At 59.9% G+C, this 17,353-nt stretch overlaps 1 protein-coding gene and 2 long non-coding RNA genes across 6 annotated transcripts in view, besides 9 other annotated features; 2 read left to right on the top strand and 1 right to left on the bottom strand.

Moving 5' to 3' along the window:
* Positions 1-4,167, top strand: part of LOC124906232 (uncharacterized) — a 17,685-nt gene extending 13,518 nt beyond the window's left edge. Inside the window, exon 3 of one of the 2 annotated variants that reach the window (XR_007095893.1) lies at positions 582-4,167. This is a non-coding gene — a long non-coding RNA (uncharacterized LOC124906232). The remainder of the gene's footprint in view (positions 1-581) is intronic. The other variant, XR_007095892.1, reaches the window with a different exon arrangement.
* Positions 2,678-3,214: an enhancer, noted in NCBI's record as "H3K4me1 hESC enhancer chr3:42708562-42709098 (GRCh37/hg19 assembly coordinates)". NCBI's record gives its function as "activates a minimal SCP1, AML or CMV promoter by ChIP-STARR-seq in naive H9 embryonic stem cells {active_cell/tissue: H9 hESC(naive)}" and the evidence as "EXISTENCE:reporter gene assay evidence [ECO:0000049][PMID:30033119]".
* On the bottom strand, positions 2,704-17,353 carry ZBTB47 (zinc finger and BTB domain containing 47). 3 transcript variants are annotated; one of them, XM_047449234.1, is made up of 7 exons: positions 17,245-17,353; positions 16,922-17,014; positions 10,456-12,009; positions 8,652-8,799; positions 7,157-7,272; positions 6,343-6,487; positions 2,704-6,047 (listed from the first exon to the last, which is right to left on the bottom strand). In XM_047449234.1, exons 1-7 carry the CDS (start codon positions 17,248-17,250, stop codon positions 5,686-5,688), a joined length of 2,424 nt encoding a protein of 807 aa, XP_047305190.1. In that variant the 5' UTR covers positions 17,251-17,353; the 3' UTR covers positions 2,704-5,685. The 3 variants fall into 3 exon arrangements, with proteins under 3 accessions (XP_047305190.1, NP_660149.2, NP_001397675.1); NM_145166.4 differs by lacking the exons at positions 16,922-17,014; positions 17,245-17,353 and adding an exon at positions 16,401-16,587; NM_001410746.1 differs by lacking the exons at positions 16,922-17,014; positions 17,245-17,353 and adding an exon at positions 15,589-15,779.
* Positions 4,774-5,274: an enhancer, noted in NCBI's record as "H3K4me1 hESC enhancer chr3:42706502-42707002 (GRCh37/hg19 assembly coordinates)". NCBI's record gives its function as "activates a minimal SCP1, AML or CMV promoter by ChIP-STARR-seq in naive H9 embryonic stem cells {active_cell/tissue: H9 hESC(naive)}" and the evidence as "EXISTENCE:reporter gene assay evidence [ECO:0000049][PMID:30033119]".
* Positions 6,120-6,169: an enhancer, noted in NCBI's record as "active region_19749". NCBI's record gives its function as "activates an Ori minimal core promoter by ATAC-STARR-seq in GM12878 lymphoblastoid cells {active_cell/tissue: GM12878}" and the evidence as "EXISTENCE:reporter gene assay evidence [ECO:0000049][PMID:35858748]".
* Positions 9,131-10,040: an enhancer, noted in NCBI's record as "H3K4me1 hESC enhancer chr3:42701736-42702645 (GRCh37/hg19 assembly coordinates)". NCBI's record gives its function as "activates a minimal SCP1, AML or CMV promoter by ChIP-STARR-seq in primed H9 embryonic stem cells {active_cell/tissue: H9 hESC(primed)}" and the evidence as "EXISTENCE:reporter gene assay evidence [ECO:0000049][PMID:30033119]".
* Positions 10,041-10,951: an enhancer, noted in NCBI's record as "H3K4me1 hESC enhancer chr3:42700825-42701735 (GRCh37/hg19 assembly coordinates)". NCBI's record gives its function as "activates a minimal SCP1, AML or CMV promoter by ChIP-STARR-seq in primed H9 embryonic stem cells {active_cell/tissue: H9 hESC(primed)}" and the evidence as "EXISTENCE:reporter gene assay evidence [ECO:0000049][PMID:30033119]".
* Positions 13,613-13,907: an enhancer, noted in NCBI's record as "tiled region #3469; HepG2 Activating DNase matched - State 12:CtcfO, and K562 Activating non-DNase unmatched - State 12:CtcfO". NCBI's record gives its function as "activates a minimal TATA promoter and a strong SV40 promoter by Sharpr-MPRA in HepG2 and K562 cells {active_cell/tissue: HepG2 | K562}" and the evidence as "EXISTENCE:reporter gene assay evidence [ECO:0000049][PMID:27701403]".
* Positions 15,487-15,566: a silencer, noted in NCBI's record as "silent region_14248". NCBI's record gives its function as "represses an Ori minimal core promoter by ATAC-STARR-seq in GM12878 lymphoblastoid cells {active_cell/tissue: GM12878}" and the evidence as "EXISTENCE:reporter gene assay evidence [ECO:0000049][PMID:35858748]".
* Positions 15,607-15,966: a silencer, noted in NCBI's record as "silent region_14247". NCBI's record gives its function as "represses an Ori minimal core promoter by ATAC-STARR-seq in GM12878 lymphoblastoid cells {active_cell/tissue: GM12878}" and the evidence as "EXISTENCE:reporter gene assay evidence [ECO:0000049][PMID:35858748]".
* The window catches only part of ZBTB47-AS1 (ZBTB47 and NKTR antisense RNA 1), a 42,079-nt gene continuing 40,621 nt past the window's right edge, over positions 15,896-17,353 (top strand). The window contains exon 1 of the long non-coding RNA NR_125400.1: positions 15,896-16,290. This is a non-coding gene — a long non-coding RNA (ZBTB47 and NKTR antisense RNA 1). The remainder of the gene's footprint in view (positions 16,291-17,353) is intronic.
* Positions 15,972-16,613: an enhancer, noted in NCBI's record as "H3K27ac-H3K4me1 hESC enhancer chr3:42695163-42695804 (GRCh37/hg19 assembly coordinates)". NCBI's record gives its function as "activates a minimal SCP1, AML or CMV promoter by ChIP-STARR-seq in naive H9 embryonic stem cells {active_cell/tissue: H9 hESC(naive)}" and the evidence as "EXISTENCE:reporter gene assay evidence [ECO:0000049][PMID:30033119]".

Raw genomic sequence — 17,353 nt, 5'->3', positions numbered from 1 at the left:
TTCCAAGCTGGGATGACAGTCACGCCTCCCCTAGGGCAAGTGGTGCAGGGTGGTTTGGGTTTGTTTTTGGCTGCATAACCCCAAAGGCTGAGTCTCTGGTTCTCCTAGAGATTTAATTGGTTCTTCTGTTTGCAACCAATAGCCCTGGTTCACCACCCACTGCCATGCTCTCCTGAATGCCACTGTGTACCAAGTACTGTGCTGAATGAAGGGGACGTGGCATTGTTCAGAGCTTAGAGAACGTGGCTTTGGGATCGGACAGACTTGGGTTCGCATCTGGCTCCACCACTTTCTGGCTGTGTGCAAGTGGCTTTACCTCTCTGAGCTCCTTTGCTTAGGTTATCAGCAGTCTCAGAAGGTTATGGTGAAGAGTGACCACAAAGTGTCCCCAACACATGAGAGTTATAGTCTTAGGCCACAGCTTCCCAGGTACACAGGCATAGTTTTGGCCACAGGGGTTTCCAGAAGCCCTATCTCTAGCTGGAGAGAGGCGGGAGTGATGGGGAAGTTCAAGGTGGGGTCCTTTGGAGCTGCTTTTCCTTCCCTGTGTGGGATCCCATTCTCTTCTCCATTCTCCACAGGTCCCAAGGCTGTCATCTGTGGTGGCAGGAGGTTCATCCCATCTGCAGCCAGTGGAACCTTAGGAGGCAGTGCTCCTCTATTTTATTGCTGACCCTCCAGAGACTTTAGAAAGCAGCTCTACAGGCTGGATACCTCTCAACCTGACCTCTGGAGACTGCAAGGCCCAAGTGTAGGAAAGGATATGGCTACTCACCTATCTTTTTTTTTTCTTTGAGACAGAATCTTGCTCTGTCACCTAGGCTGGAGTGCAGTGGCGTGATCTCGGCTCACTGCAACCTCCGCCTCCCAGGTTCTAATGATCGTAATGATCCTTTTGCCTCAGCCTCCTGAGTAGCTGGGATTACAGATGCATGCCACCATGCCTGGCTAATTTTTTTTTTTCATTAGAGATGGGGTTTCACCATGTTGGCCAGGAAGGTCTTGAACTCCTGACTTTGAGTGATCTGCTCGCCTCAGCCTCCCAAAGTGCTGGGATTACAGGCGTGAGCCACCGTGCCTGGCAGCTACTCAACGATCTTTCCAGCTCTCCTCTCCTTCCGGCCACACAGGAGGGTTGCGTGTCCACACCCCCCTGAAGTAAGGCATGATGCCAGAACTTGCTTTGGATGATGACACAGAAACAGCAGTGATACACCACTTCTGGATGGCAGCACTGAAGAGCCAAGGTGTGATTCTCCAACCTGTCTTTTCCCTGGCTCTGTTCAGTCTAGAGGCCCATGTTGATATGGAGGTGCCCCAAGGTCAAAGCCTGGAATTCTGGGCCACCAAATAGAGAATGACTGCCCTGGAACATCCCCTCAGAGCCACAGATGTTGAGTCACTGAGGTTAGGAGGTGGTTTGTTACTGCAGCAGAACTCAGCCTAACCTGACTTATTCACCAGTCCTGGTTCTAGAAAGCTACATAATCAGGGGGTAGGTAGGCCCAAAAGCACCACTAAGCCAGGGTGCCTCACCTCCCCTCATTGATCCTTTAGAAAGAAGGAAAGTCCGGCCTTCCCCAGCAAGGCAGTGCTGCTCTGACCTATGCATGCTTCAGGACATGAGATGTTAGTGAGCTGCTTGGTCCCAAAGAGCAAGATCAGGGAAAGTGAGTGCTCCAGAGACACCAATCGTGGTGCCCACCATCCCACAGCCACCCAGAGGCCTCTGCCCCAGAGCCTAGGATGACAGTGTCCAAGACTCTGGAGTGTGAAGGTGGAAATGCTGTGAGAATGAGGGAGGTGGGGGGAGGGCTGGAGGAAAAAGAGGTGTCATGCAACCTGATATAGGAGGAGGTCAACAGAGTGGAAACACAGAGATGAGTGGAATCTGCACAAGAGTTGGGGGAGCAGCCAGGCCCCCAGGCCTGTCAGCCAGCCTTGTTTCAGGGTCTCTTGAGCAAGCCTGTGTTTCTTCCATTCATAGCAGGACTGTGCAGAAAGGCAGTGCCAACATCCTAGGAACCTGCACCTCCTTTCTGGCCAGTCAACAAATCCACCCATGAGACTTCTCTCCCAGTCCCTCCCAGTCCTGTCTGACCCTTTTCTACATATACAGAGTTAAGTGCCACAAGGAGGCTCATTCTGCACGTGTCCCCGGGGCCTAGAATTCCATTTGGCATGGAGTGAGTGCTCTCTGTATATACTACTTGTGCCATGAAACAATTCTGAGTTCCCCAGGGAGAGCCATCTGCTCCTCTGGAGGCTACCACCTGTCTTCCATCTGAGCTTTTGTCTTCCCGGGTGCCTGAGTCAGCATCTCTGTTATCTGGCCCCTTCTGACCTCCCCTGCCTGCCGAGGGAGGAATGAGTCCATACTGCTCATCACAGCATCCCCAGGGCTCAGCACATAAGTGGGAGCACCGGTCCCTGCTGTCCCAGAGCTACTGTGGCTCCATGCCTGGTGCTCATGGGAAACCACACCTGCACAGGCCCTGGCCTCTTGTGGCCATTGCCTTCAGGACTTCTCCTCTTTCATGCCCCTCTGCATCTGACCCAAGACCCACCTATTTGCCCATCCCCCATCCCCCACCGCTGCCCTTGCCTCATCTCCTGACTCTGGGTGGTCCCCAAAGCCCAGCCCCTTGCTCTGGTCCAAGAGTCAAGGCAGGCCAAGTGCAAAGAAGAGGCTGGGCCAAGGGACACGAGTTGTACTGACTTTATTCCCCTTCATCCTCTCACTCGCATGCCTGCTGTGCCCCATGCTCTGGGGCTGTGGGGTGCCTGTACACGAGCAGTTGTCAATGGTCTCAACACACACCTGGGCATGGCCATTCTGCCACTACCAAGCCCTCTGTGAAGGGCACCGTGGAGACTATGGCAGCATGAGCCAGGGTTGAAGGCTCCCAGAACTGTGGCCACAGGGCTTGAGTTCATCACTCTAGCCACCCATCGCCAGCTGGCCTGAGACCAGAGAGCCCCAAGGAGCCGGGGAGGGGGCAGACCCAGACTCCAGGCCTGAGTTCTAGCCAAACAGGCTGAGAAGTCCAGATGGACGGTGGGACCCCCACAGATCTCCTTGGGAGGGGATGATCCTGCGTCCCCCTTCCCCCAGCCCTGGAAAGTGAGTATGGTGCCCTAGTCGCCTCATTCTGACATCTGGGGGCACATTGTTTTTTTGTGTTGTTTTGTTTTAAATAAAAAGATGTAAAAGCTAGTAAAACAGGAACCCCTATCCATACTGGAACTGCTGAGGTGCCATTATTGCTTCTGGCCTTGTGGTCTGGCCGGAAAGGAGCCCCCACCAACAATGGCCCAAGTGAAGAGAGTGCTTAGCACCAGGGACACAGGCTCCTATCCCCAGTGGGGCAGGGGCCTCCCAGGAGAGGGGTTGGTTGTGCCCACCTAGAGCTCCCGTGACCGTCTTGACCAGCTGTCAAGCTGTCTGGTCAGCTGTCTGGACCCCTCACCTGATCCCAGAGGGGAAGTGTACAAGAACATGAAACCCATGTCCCAGGACAGGGTTTCATTGCCAGCTCCCCACCAGTGTCTCTGACCTCTGCTTGTCAGTATGGCCTGACAGGTCTCAGCCTGGCCACGGCCACTCAGGCCTACTCAGGCTGTAGTGGGGCCAGCAGGTGATGACACCACCAGTGCCTGTGGGAGATCCTGGTGCCAGTGATGGGGGTTGGAAACCCATGGAGGACCCTGCCTACAGCCCACTGGGAGAGATCAACTTTTTTTGGGAAAATGTGAGCCAGCTCCAAAGAGCTGCCAGGCACTGGGACTAGAGATTAAAAATAGCAACAGGGAGGGGGGGACCCTGAGGACATCACGGAAGCCCAAAGATCAAGGAGTGCAAGGAAGAAAAAGAGCTACAGTAAAGCAGGAGCCTGGAGTCCCCAGCCTTGGGGTGGGGGTCCTGACCAGAAGCCTTCTTCCTCGGGGAGGGGCGAACCTTCTCTCCCCCAGGACAGCAGGAGCGCCTGAGCGTACGTCTACAGCTCCAACATCAATTGGGCAAGGAAGCTGCTGGCACTGTACCCTCCAAGCCCAGAGAACAACCAGGGTGGTGTGGCTTGGATTATAAATCCTCAGATCACTCGGGCACCTTGGGCCTGCCCAAATCTGTACAGAATAAAGTGCTTCGTTTATTGATGATTAAAATGTCCCCAGCTCCCTGCCCCAGTGCCATGGGCCTCATAAGGTCAGAGGGGTTCAGTCCCCCTAACCATTCCCCCGGGGCCCAAGCCTCTTCCCACTCCAGCCATGCTGGGAAGGCAATAGTGTCGGGGAGTGGTGGGGGTTTAAGGTGCAAAGAGTATAACAAACAAAACTGTATAAACACAATAGGAAAGAGCTTAACTAGGAAACATGTAGCTTATGGAACCTTCCTCCCCATATTAAAGGCAGGAATAAAGACATTAAATGACAACAAAAAAGGGTTTCCTATTAGTGCTAGCCTCATGGGGGCAAGCAATTGGGTCTAGGCTGCGCCTCCCCAGTCCCCCCAATCCCCCGAGGGGCCTGAACATGCAGGCTCCTTTACCGGCAGTGCTATGGGCGCCCCACCCACCGGTGCACAGGCCCAGGAGGGACGAGGACGCTGGAGCCAGCCAGGGACAGGTTGTGGCAGGACCTAGAGGGAGGATAAGGCCTAGAGCGGGCCTTTGGGGGAGCAGAGATGGACACAGCCACACTTGTTCCTTCTGGTGTGGGATATATGGCCAGAGTAGCTGGTGAGGAACTGGGGTGCTCTGTGAGCAGCCGCCCTGCCCCTGCCCCACTAATAGCACCTTGAAACCCTACCAGCACTGCCCAAGCCTCATCCTAGGACTCTGCCCCCAAAGCTGGTGCTGCCAGTCAGCCTGTCTGCCCAAGGAGGGTCTGGCTCACAGCGCTGTGAGGCACAGCAGCTTCTGGGGACATCTCCAGGACTCAGGACCCTTGGTGCCACCTGGTGCAGGTCAGGGATCCCTGGGCCTGCTGGCAGCAGAGTGGGTGGGGAAGGCAAGTCCCTGGGGTCCAGCCCCTGCCTGCCCCACTCCACACAGTGAAGCACTGGTCTGCAGTCTCCGCACCTCGCCACCCTCCACCCCCCACGCTCACCCAGGTCCAGTCTCAGGCCCTGCCTCAGTGCTTGCGGCTCTCAGACTGGGTCTACACCTCCTCAGGGGTTGTGGGGGTGGCACGCCAACTTCTCCCCAAACCCTCCAAGATGAGGAAGCAAATTAGGGGCATAGAGGACATGGGGATAGGCTGCTGAGGCTGACCCAGGCTCCAACTGGCCAACCCCTCTGGCACAGGCCTTGGCAGAGGGACTGGCCACACCTGCTGCCCAGGCCCCTTTCTTTCTGCTGCAGACCCCCAGCACCCCCCTCACCTGGAGGGGAGTGCTGTAAATAGTTTCTTTTTCCTTCACTTCCAAAAAAAAAAAAAAGTAAAGGCTTCAAGGAGTCACAGAAAGGGGGGGCACTTGGGAGTGAGATGCCCTCCACCAGCTCTGGGGCCTGCCAGCCTGCATACCCCTCCTCGTCGGGGCCTCAGGCAGGGTACATCCAGCCACTTCTGGAGGTGGAGCAGGGCCCAGGCCCGCACTACTGTGCTCCCCGGGAAGGCAGTGGGTCCCTCCTGGAGTGGGCCCTGACTCCAGGCCCCAGCGGGTGCACGGGTGCAGCTCGGCAGCTAGTTGTTGGCGTTCATCCTCCCGCCGGGGCTGGCAGTGGTGGGGAAGAGCGGAGGCGGGGGCGGCAGGTGGGGCGGGGGCGGCAGGGTCTGGGGCAGCCCCGGGAGCAGGGGCAGTGCGTGCGCCTGGGGCTGGGTTGGGGGCAGGCCTGGGGCAGCGGGGACGCCGTCGCCGGCCAGGGTGTGGCTGACGCGGAAGCACTTCTCCTTGTGGGCCTTGAGCATGTTGGAGAAGCGGAAGCGCTGGCCACACACGTCGCACGGGTACGGCTTCTCGCCCGTGTGCGTGCGCCGGTGCCGCTTCATGTTGGGCCGGCTGGTGAAGCTCTTGCCACAGATCTCGCAGATGTACGGCTTCTCTCCTGGGGGTTGGGGGTGGGCAGCAGGGCGTCAGTGAGGGGTCGCCACACCCCAGTCTGGGGCCAGCCTCCGTCTCCCATGGAGCCATAGTGGGGCCCAGCCCCGGCGCTCTCAGATCCTCCCCGACCCTGGGGCATTTTGTGCCAGCCTCACCCAACCCTGGGAGGCAGGAAGCATGGGTAAACGGAGGCCCAGACTTGAGAAGGGGTGTGGCCAAGATTATTCCAGGTGTCCTGAGCGGGGCTGAGAAGGGGTCCCAGGCCCGGCACCGAGCTCCGTCCCCAGGGGCAGCCGCACCTGTGTGGGTCTTCATGTGCTCATCGAAGTACTGCTTCATGTTGAAGTCCTTGCCGCACCATTGGCACATGAACTGCTTGTGGCCAATGTGGATGCTCATGTGTGACCGCAGCTGGTACTTGTACTGGAAGCGCTCATTGCAGTTCTGGGGGTGGGGTTTGGGGGTGAGGCCCAGGCACAGAGCAGAAGAGCAGCCTTTGTGGAGGGAACAGCTCCCCTGTGGCCACAGGGCCAAGGAGGGACACACTCAGGGGCTCCTGGGCAAGGAGATGGGGACATGAGGGCAAGCCGAGGTGCATCTGGGTGGGCAGTACATGGGCACAAGAGGAGAGGCCACAAGCACCCAAGGCTTAGGTGGGGAATGGGGGTCGGAAGTGGGAAAAAGCCAGAGAGTAGAGGGAGCCCCATGCTTAAGGCACGAGGTCCCTCATCCTTCCTCCTGATCAGACGCCCAGCCCCTGCCCCCACCTCCCCACCTGCAGCTCTGTTGTCTCATCTGAGCTCCAGGCCTGGGATGCTCCTGAATCTGCCTCCCCAGAAAGCCTGCTCCTAGGGCTGTAGCCCACACACACTTCCCACCCTGAGTGTGTGGGGCTGGGTTGGGGAAGGAAGGGCAGGATGGGAGTGGGCCAGAGAAGAGTAGGGGCTGGGTGGGAGTGGGAGGCAGGGGCTGCAGACCTCAGAGGGCAGGGCTCTCTCTTTCTGGACACTACATTCCACCCCCTAGCCCTTTGTTTTTCAGCAGCTGCGCTCCCTGATTCCTGCCCCTCCCAGGTGACCCCTCGGGCAGGCCAGGCAGGAGATGGAAGCTCACCTCACATCTGAACGGCTTCTCCCCTGAGTGCTGCAGTGAGTGCACCTTGAGGGACATGCTGCGCTTGAAGGACTTTCCGCAGGTCTCGCAGGTGAAGGGCATGTCCTTGGTGTGGGCTACGAGGTGGGCACCAGGGCCATCATGTTTTACGGGCCTGCCCAAGCACCCCGACGTTGGGCCCAGACCCTGCCTCCTGGGGCAGCCCTGTGCCACCACCCTTCTCTGGGGCTGGCCTTATACTCTGTCCCAGGACCTGTGCTGATTCCCAGGAGAGGCCCCCTGCCTCCATGGCTGGGTCTCCTATCTGCTCTGAAGGTCTGCCTCAGACATGCTGGGGCTCTGTGGTTCTTTAGCCTCTGGTCAAGGGAAGTGGCCAAGGCTGCCTTGCCCCCAAAGCTTCAGGGAAGGATGGAAGGACCCTGGGTGGACCTGGCTTCAGCTCAAATCCCGGCCCGACCACTGGCTTCCCACTCAGTCTCTCTGGACCTCCGCTTCCTCTCCTATAAAAAGGGACTCATAGTGGTCCTGAGCTTCAGGGGTGGTGGGCTTTAGAGGGGACATATGCAGAAAGGCCCTGGTCTCAGGCCCTAGCCAGCAGTCTGGAGGAAGTTAGCTGCACTCCTCCCAGCACCCACGGATGGGTGAGGACTAACAAACTCTTCAAGGATCTGGTAGGTGGCCACTGGAGACAGAAGGCTCACCTTCAAGCTCACAGACACCAGTCCTGGTTTACCCAGCATGCTCCTGGCTGAGACCTAGGCCGCAGGGTCCCAGCTTCCAGTCAGTTCATGCTGGAGGGCCCCCAGCACTGTCTCATGGAGAAAGGGATTAGGACCTGGCCAGGGGCTCACTGTCTGCCTTGGCTACCCCTCCCCCTCAAGGCCCAGACTTGGAGCGGGCAAGGAAGGCAGGGCTGTAGGGACATGAGGCTCTGCCAGGCCCACATACAGCAGGTGGGCAGCCTTGCCTGGGGCAGTGGCGTGGCCAAAACACACAATTGGGGGACCTCCTTACTGTGTCCAGGCATGAACCCTGAGGGGAGGCTGCATTCAGAGAGGCCTGAAGCCCTATGAGGACCAGAAGGTAAGAAAGAATCAGAGGCACAGCTGTCATCAAACTGACACAGGGCCTGTACCAGCCCATACAGCACTTTGTATAATTAGGAAAAGGTATTCTTTTCCCTGGGTGGACACGAGCCCGTGCCAGGATGCACAGCCTGGTTAGCAGTGTGCCAGCTTGATTCCGGTTCCCACCTGCCATCTTGTCCAGGCACCCTTGTGCAATGTGCAGCCTGCCCAACTGTACATGCCAGCCCTGGCCCCAGAGCCTGTCCAGGCTACACCTGCCACTGGAACCAACCTCCCCAGGCCTCCTAGCTGAGAGGGGCCTCCTCACCCCTTCACATTGCCCTTGGATGTGAAGTCTTTCCCATCCACCAGCCAGAAGCTGGTCCATCTCTATCCTCTGGCTCCATCCCCCAGTGGCCCAGACTTACCAACCATGTGCTTACGCACGTGGGCCATGGTGTAGAACTTCTTCTCACAGATCTCGCATGAGAACTTCTTCTCTGCGTAGCCGTGCACAATCTTGTTATGCTCATGGAGGGACCAAAGCTTCTTGAAAGCTTTGCCACATGTCACACACTGCAGAATAAGAGGACTTGAGGCCCTGGGTCCTGAGTCCCCAGGGTCTTGGACTTGGGCAAGCTACTGCCCCCGTCTGGCCTCAGTTTTCCCACTTGAAATATGCTGGAGAGCCCTTGATGCCAACAGCCAGCCAGCTCTGATGTTTCTAAGGTTGGGGATGAAAACTCCTTAAACACCCCCAAACACACAGCCTGGTGTCCTCCTTCATCCTTGAGTTAACTAGGGTCAGGGGTCACCTCTTCCAGGAAATTCCCCACTCTGGGCTCATTTCAACAAGGGCTTCCAAAGGCATCACCCTTTGTCTGTCTATAGAGGTAAGGCAGACAACTAGCTGAAGGGCGCCCTCTGGTATGGAGGCTACACGCAGAGATAACAGGTCCCACAGAGTGAGCCATTATCACTGCTGCCTCCTCCTGCTGGGACCTGTGCCATGACACCATGAATATCGCCAAGAGGATGAGTCCCAGAGGCGTTGGCTGAGGAGGACAGCAGGAGGCTCAAGGTCCCATCAGGCACAGAGAGTGGTGGGGGATCTTGGGGACCATATCCCCCCATTTGTTCTCCTGGACCCTTGTCCTGCCCATCTATGCAGGACACCCCACAGGGATGGAGGCTAGGCCAAGGCTTGGGCAGAAATTGGTCAGGGTACTCAGGTTGGATGGGGCAGAAGCTTCTTTTTCCTTCAGGAGGGAGACTCAGGTGCGCAGCAGTTAGAGCATCAAAGGGCAGCCCAGCAGGCGGGCAAGTGGGCACAGGTACACAAGGGTGGGGCAGGATAGCAGGTGACCCCCGGGTAACACTTTCTCCACAGGGCACTGCAATTAGCAATTAGCGCAGGCAATTAGCACCCACCTACCTGCTACCTTTCCCCCTTCTCCTGGGCCAGAAGAGGTGAAAACCACCCGTGGGAGCCTGGCTGGCCCTGTGCCACCCCACCCTGAGAAGTGAGGCTGGCACAAACAGACTCAGGCTGGCTCAAGGCCCAGCAGCCAGCTCAGCTCCCCTGCTTACCCCAGCAGCCTCTGCTCTTCCCAAATTTCTCACCCAATCCCTTTTTCCCAGGCCCATGGGAGCTGGCATCCCCAAAGAGCTGAAAGTGGGGGCTGCCTCCTGCTGGGCTGCCCCCTCCTCCATACAGCACTTTTGTGGGAAGTGGAGGATGGCATCCCTCTGGGCAAACCCCTCCTCCCATCGTGTGCTCACTTGCTGCAGTGCACAACCTGTGAAACTATACACAGTGGCCCTGCTGGCCTTCCTACAGCCCCCGTGTTTGTTAAAACCCCGTCTGACTCATCCCACCCAGAGTGGCCTGTCTTCTGGCCTTGTCTGCTCAGACAACTCTCCACTCTCATCCTCCCAAGTCCATGTGTCCCCTTTGTCCCTCTGGCCAAGGGTACTGTTTGTTCCAATCCTCTGCACATCTCTTCATGCGCCCAACTCTATCCACCTCTCCCAGGAAGCTCGGCTTGATGTTACCCCTGAGCTCTAACCACCCTGAGAACTGGGCCTGGGCCAGCCTGTCTGGGGGCTAAGTCTGGTCTCCGCAGACCACCTAGGTAATGCAGTCAGCAAGACACTAGGTGCCCAGAGCCCAGTTATGGCCTAGCCCCACCTGGACAGCCTCTGCCCTGCCCCCAGCCACGTGAGGCCCACCTGGATGTTGCGCTCGCAGTCTGTCTGCCTGTGCAGCAGCAGCTCGCTCTCCAGCAGGAAGCGCTTGCCGCACTGGTCGCAGATCTGCATGCGGCTGTGGGTCACATTCATGTGTTTCTCCAGGTACCAGCGGTTGTTGAAAACTCGTGGGCACTTCTGGCATGGATGGTGCTGCTTCTCCTCCAGCTTCACCTTGGCCCCCAGCCCATCAGTGGCTGGCGGCCCTCGGGCCGATGCAGAGGCCACTCCAGGGGGTGGCTTTGGCCTCTTCCCACCCCGCCGCCCAGCTTCTTCAGGTTCAGGGGTACCCCGGCGCCGGGCGTTCTCCCGGGACCGTGTGGCCATGTGACTGTGGGGAGGGGGGTCTGCCCGGCTGCTTCGGCTTCCCCGTGGCCCCTGCTTGCCCCCAGCCTCCCCCTCCTCCCCCTCCTCCTCCTCAGAGCTCTCTTGATCCTGCTCACTAGGCCCTTCCTCCTCTTCCTCCTCCTCTTCCTCTTCCTGCTCACTGTGCCCGTCCTCCTCCTCTTCTTCCTCTTCTCCCTGACTGCCACCCTCTTCCTCCTCCTCCTCCTCCCGTCCACTGCCACCACCTTCCTCTTCCTCTTCTTCCTCCTCCTCCTCCTCGTCGTCCTCCTCCTCCTCGTCCGAGTGTCTCTGCAGCCCGTCCTCCCGGCCCAGAACCACGGTGGCTGGGCTTGGCCCGGCACCTGGCTTCCCCTCTGGCCCCGTGGACACGTGCAGTGTCTGGTTGTTGAGGTTCACCTCCACGATGATCTGGGATTGCTCCCTGCGGCTGTAGGTGCCAGAACCCCCAAGCTCTTCCTCCAACTCTTCTCCACCCTCCAGCTTGCACAAGCTGGCTGGGGGCCCACCGGCCTCCTCGACACCACCCTCCTTCTCCTCCTTAAAGAAGGGCTGGGCTGGCCCAATGGTGGCAGGCACTGTGCCACCAGCAGTCCCTGCCCCGTCCTCAACACGCACCGAGTAAGGGTCAGGGCCCTCGCGGGCATAGATCTTGGGCAGGCCTGGGGTGTCGGCCTCCTGCTTGATGTCACAGTAGTAGGGCGGCGCAGCTGGAGTGCAGCTGGCAGCCGGCTGGGCCAGGGCCACAGTGCCCGGACCTGGTGGGCCTAGAGAGCGGGCGTCCAGCAGCTCTTGGCAGGACGCAGCGATGTCAGCCATCTGCAGCAATGAGGCGGCGCTGAGCACCTCGTGGACGTTGGCCGCGTTGACCAGCAGCTTGGACGTATAGATGAAGTTGAGGATCTGCTGCAGGCCACCAGGTGCCAGTGCCTCCAGGGACAGCTCCACACGCTGCAGCTGCTTGTTCTGGGTGAAGAGTGAGTGGAAGAACTGGCTGTAGGCGGCTAGCACACCCTTGTGTGCCGGAAAGACGCTGCGCTGGGGCACCAGCACCAAGTCCACGTCGCAGAGGTCAGGCTGGAAGAGGCGCTGCTCGTTCAGGCGGCCCATCAAGCAGGCAAAGTGCAGCGCCACGTCCTCCACCAGCGAGAACTCAGCCGCCGGGGAGTCAGTTGTCTTCTCAACCAGCAACTGCGGGGACAGAGGGCACAGGAGTGGGTCAAGGCCAGTGGGCCCCTGCCCGCCCTTCCCCCAGCACCACTCCCAGCATTGCCAGCCATCCAGGAGGCAGCCCATCACTCGTGGCTCCACTTTACAGCAACAGAGCCGAAACTAGCAAGGAAGGGATTCAAGCCTGAGTGAGCTGCCTCAGAGCTCAGGCTCCACTCGTGACCCTCTGAGGCTGAAGATCAGGTCCTGTCACTTTCTGGGCCTCTGGGTCATCTCCTGGGAAATGGGAAAAGTCATCCCAGGAAGGGAAAGGGAAGGAAAGGGGATGAAAGAGAGACCACAGTGACCAACCATCCAGGTTTGCCAGGGACCTGGGCATTTTCTGGGGTGCAGGGCTTTCAGTGCTAGAACCAGGACCATCGCAGGCACACCGGGACCAGGTGGTCACCCCAGGAGGGCCACAGGCATTCCTTCAGCATTTCCTCAGCCCCGTGGATTCTCTCCACATATTCACTCACACATACCAATAAAAGCAAGCTTGCCCAGCCCCAAACACCTCAAGAACAGAAGCCGGGCTCACTGCTCACTGCCCAGTCTCTGGCTACAGAATCCAAGGGGTAGCACCTGAGGGAACCCCTCATCGCAACAGCCATGTGGCTGCTGCAGAAGTTGAAACCTGTGAAGAAATCCAGGCTCAGGGCCTATACCTTCTCCCCACTCTGGTCCTGCTGCACTGCCTGGTGAGGTCTCCTCATCACAGCCAGGGCTTGGGCCAGGCTGCCCCCAACCCCTGCCTGCAGCCTCAGGCCTAGCCCCCAGCAGCTCTCTCTCACTCAGGGGCTCTGCAGGGGTGGAAGGACACAGCTGTGGAACCTGCCTACCATGCTTGCAGGCAGGAGGCCCCCAAGGCCTGCCCCAGATCCTTTTCCCGGTAGACCCCCAGACCCCAGGTCAGGTACGGTCCATGTCCACAGGCTCTGGGAAAGCCCTGCCTTAGAGGCCACACCATCTGGGGCTTCCAGAGCCCTAGCGGAGGCCCTCAATGTCTGATGGGTCAGACTATCAGGCCTGTGGGCCACATCCAGCACCTGTGAATTGCCTGGAATAGAAGCCAACTCAGTCACCCCGGCTCTACCACAGCAGCCTCCCCAAAAGGTGGGCAGCACAGACAGGCAGCCTGCCCAGTCCCTGCACGAGAACCATCACACAGTGATGTGCAGATGTTGTTAATATCCACCAACCACCAGCCCAGCTGGACCAGCACCACTGGTTCCAAGTTCTGGCTCTCCTCAGGGCCTGCCCAACCAGGTCTGAGCCTCCTGCATTCGGGAGGTACCTTGCCACAATATTTTGATGGCCACAAAACCATCAGCTCCATAGCTGTCAGTGCCTCCCTGGGGACCCTGGGATGAATCCTGGCCCCATCCATCCACAGCCTACCGCCCCCCTTCCCCATGCCAGGCCTTCCATCGCCAGGAGAGCAGTGGGTAGGCTGGGATTGGGCAGGGGTGGTGGTGGTTGAGCTCCACTTCTCAGTCACCTGAATGAGAAACCTACCGTGGGCCTCAGCAGGAGCCTCCCTGAGCCACCAGGGGCCACCTGTCTCCAGGCCTGCCCTGGACCCTGCCCCCTACACCCAGCAGCCAGGGCAGCAGCCATCCTGTGTTCCCTCACATCCCAGTCTGGCCAGGCCCCTGGCCAAGGCTACCATCTTCCTTGAGTTCTCCACTACACCCCTTACCCCAGCCAAGAAGCCATCCATCTCCCTCTGTCCCAGGCTGTCCAGGCCTGGCCAATCTAACTGGGACGTGGCACCAAGCCCCTCCCATCTCCCTCCTCTGACTCATTCTGATTCATCTTCTGGGACCAACCCCTACTACACAGATGGAGAAACCGAGGCTCAGAATGAGAGGGTTCCACAGTCCAGAGCCCCTGGACTCCCAGCTCCGCTAAGACCACCCCTTCCTTGCTAGACCCCACATGGCTGGATTTCTGAGCCTTTAATGACTTAAAAAGCGAGAACATCCCGCCACCTGGAGACCAGCCGTGCTTCCCCACACTCACCACTATCCCCTCTACCTGCTCCCTCCTCCCTAGAGCCACTGCACCTGCAGGTCAGTGAAGGATCAGGGTACAACTTGGGTTGCAACAGGGGCTCCTTAGGGCCTCCAGGGGCCAAAGACTGGCAGGAGAAGTGGCTTGGATAAGGGTTTGCTGAAGCCAGGCCTGTTGGGGGAAGTCCACCCCAGGCAACAGAGCCCCAGATCTCTCTGCTCTCCCTTTATGGAATGCCCTCCACTGCCCACCTGTGCCCACCTGCCACAGGGAAAGGGCAACCTTCCCATGTGCACTTTGGCCTCTAGGCCAAATGAGGCCTGACTTTGGCCCTCTGGCCTCTCAGCAGGAAAGGAGGGGAGTGCTTTCTCAAACACTCCATTGCTAAGGTAGTACTCTCAGCCAAGGCAGCACCATCCTTGGCCCTTGGGGGGCCCTAAACCTCATGACCTGATTGGACTCTCTTGACTGGGCACAGAGATGCTGCCCGAGTCCACAATTGGCAGCCCCTCAGCAGGGTTCAGCCACCCCCATGTCTGGCCCCTCCCACACAATGCCCACCAGCTGTGCTGGCCTCCACAGCCAGATGTGCTGGTTCCCGGAAGCAATGCGTGCCCCTCCCCATCCGGCTGTGCCAGCTGCAGTCCAGGTCACTCCAGCCTAGCTAAGATGCAGGACCAGGGAGGTGGTCAGGCACTCTGGTTGCCAGGGGGTTTCATGCCCTCAAACCCTTGCCCCAAGTCAGGCTGGGGATTGGCCAGGTGCCAGACATCTCTCCAGGCTGCTCACCCAAGTCAGAGCCTTCTACACCTGAGGGGTACCTTGCCTCACTGATGAGAAGCCTCATCTCTCTACCCTGCCTCAGAGCCTCCCTGGAAGGCCCCATGATGAAACCTGGGGAGTCCATCTGCGCCCCCCTCCCATGTCAATTCTTTCTATGCTGGGCAGCAGTGGGGGGGCCCAGACTGAGCAAGGGGGCACAGGCTCATGACCTCTAGGCTCCTCCTTTTGGTGAGGGAGTGTCCATGCCAGCCTCCTCTGTGCACTTACCTCCCCTCTTTCCCTTGGAAATAGACCCAGAGAGGGCGGGGGATCTGCCCAAGGTCACACAGGAGTTGGTACGGGAGCTCTGGGTGTCCTCCCACACCCCCTTGGCCCGGGTCATCCCGAATCCCCAGGCAGGGCGGCTCCAGCGCCCACGTGGCCCAAGGCCCAGGCGGGAATCCGACTCCCTCTTCCCCCCATTACCCAGCCCGAGGGCGGCGCCGTCCGGGCGCAGGGGAGCGCCCCCCTTCGCCGGTGCCTAGCAAGACCTCAGCCTCGCGCGCCGGCGCCCCCACCACAGGAATTTAACCCCCTCCCCACCGAGAGCAGCGCCACAGCGCCGCATTCCCGGCCCGCGGGACCCAGCAGATGGAGCCGGGAGACCGGGGGAGGGGGGAAGATCCCTCCAGCCCCTCCACCCGGGCCCGCGGGCCGTGTGCCTGGGAGGTCAGAGCTGGCAGGTGGGCGGATAAGCGGGGGGACAGGCAGGGCCCTGCGTACCATGGTGCCGTGGCGCTGGGGGCTCACAGGGCCCCGCGGGATCGCGCTGCCCCCGGCGGCCAGGCCAGGGCCGCTCCATGAAGCGCCGCGCTGGGGGCCGCCCCCGCGCAGGGCCCCGCGACCATGGCCCCCGGGGGCGCGGCCAGGCAGGCGGAGGCGCAGGGCCGCGGCGAGTCCAGCGCCAAGCAGCTGCGGCCCCAGAGCCTCGGGCGCGGCGGGCGGGGGGCGCGGGGCGCCGATTGGAGCCCGCGCGTCAGCTGGGGCCGCCGTCTGGACGCTTAAAGGGCCAGGCCGCCTGCGTGCCGGCGGGGGGCGCGGACACGCGTGGTGTGCGCGGTCCCCGTGCAGCCCGCCCTGCCGCAGGCTGCCCTCCACCCCCAGCCCCAGCTCCAGCCCCCAGCCCGTCCCCACTGCTCATATCCGAGCAGATAGACCCCGGCCCCACCCTCCCGTGCTGAGCCTCCTTTCTGCCGGGAAGTTCGTCCGGGAGTCAAACATCGCTGCCCTCCGGTTGCGCCACGGAGGGGGAGCCAGGATAGGAAGCTGCCGTGAAATCAGGAAGCTGAGCGCGCCGGGCCCCGGATCCGAACAGAAAAGGCTTCCACCCGCTCCCCTGAGGGATCCCACGCTGAGGGACTGAACCCCGCACCCCAGCCGCGCTCACCACCCCCACCCTCTCGCCTGGGCTGCTCTGACCTGGGGGTGAGTCTGGGGTCCCCAACTGGTCCAGTCCCCCATCCCTATCCCAGGGCGGCGCAGGGCTCATTTTGCTCTGTGCCTCCAGGACTTGGCTCCAGTGGACCCATACCTACCTGGCGGCCTCATGCTGCATAGGGCCACCCAGGGCAGGAGATTTAAATCCCAGGACTACAACCGCAGCGATCAAATCATCTAAGGTGACTGGCCCAGGGCCAGGAGACAGAGGGACCAGAGGAGTAGGGACCAGAGGCCCAGGCCCCACTGTGCCCCTCTAGCCGTGTGACCTGACCACTGCTGAGTGGCCCCCTTGCTCAGCCTCTGCTGGGGAGATGCAGCCAGGCTTGCGGAATGCTGCTCTGGCATGGACACCCGTGGGGGCAGGGGGCTGGCTCTGTTGGCAGGAGGCTGTAAAGGAAGGCTGCCAGGCTGAGCAGGCAGCAGGGTGGGGACCACGGGGCACTAGACCTGGCAAGGTCTGGATGGTGACTGGGCCACCATTGTAGAGGAGAGGCCTCTGTGGACATCCCCTCCTCCTACCCCAAGCTCACTACTGCCCATCCTGGGTCACTCTCATGTTGCCCCCATCCTGATATTCCACACCCCTCCCCACATATGTGCGCTTGTGTTTACATACAAGTCCATGTCCAGCTGCAGCAGTATCTCCTGGGTATGTTGTCCTACTCACGAGTGGGCAGGAACTCTGGCGCTGGCTCAGGGTGACTTGGTTCTAGGTGCCAGAGGAGAAATGGAGGAGAGACCAGGGTATTAGGCAGGTGCTGTGAAACAGCCTGATGGTCTGTCCTGTAAGATTGCAAGGGCCTCCTCCCCCACCCCCACTCTCTGCCAGAATACGTAGGGCCTCAGGATAAGGCTATCCCAGAGCTAGGGAGAAAATGTCTCAGGGGCCAAACCTGGGGCATCTGGAAGCCCCTGGCAGCTGCTGCAGACATCCTGTACCTGCATGGGTGCACAGACAGCTGGCCCAGCTCCCAGAGGCCCCAGGTTAAGGCCAGGCCAGAGCAGCTTACATGCTTCTGACCAGCTAGCCCGCTGAGGGCTGCCTTCT

Source organism: Homo sapiens, chromosome 3 (genome assembly GCF_000001405.40).
Source record: "Homo sapiens chromosome 3, GRCh38.p14 Primary Assembly".
NCBI lineage: Eukaryota > Metazoa > Chordata > Mammalia > Primates > Hominidae > Homo > Homo sapiens.
Note: the sequence above shows the minus strand (reverse complement) of the source record. Positions and strands in the feature narration are given on the sequence as shown.

Excerpts from the sequence above, each read along its gene's own strand:
- ZBTB47 (XM_047449234.1), bottom strand. Across the intron at positions 6,488-7,156 it reads AGAAGCCGTTCAGATGTGAG|AACTGCAATGAGCGCTTCCA; the intron begins GTGAGCTTCCAT and ends CCCCACCCCCAG. Across the intron at positions 6,048-6,342 it reads GCACATGAAGACCCACACAG|GAGAGAAGCCGTACATCTGC; the intron begins GTGCGGCTGCCC and ends CCCAACCCCCAG.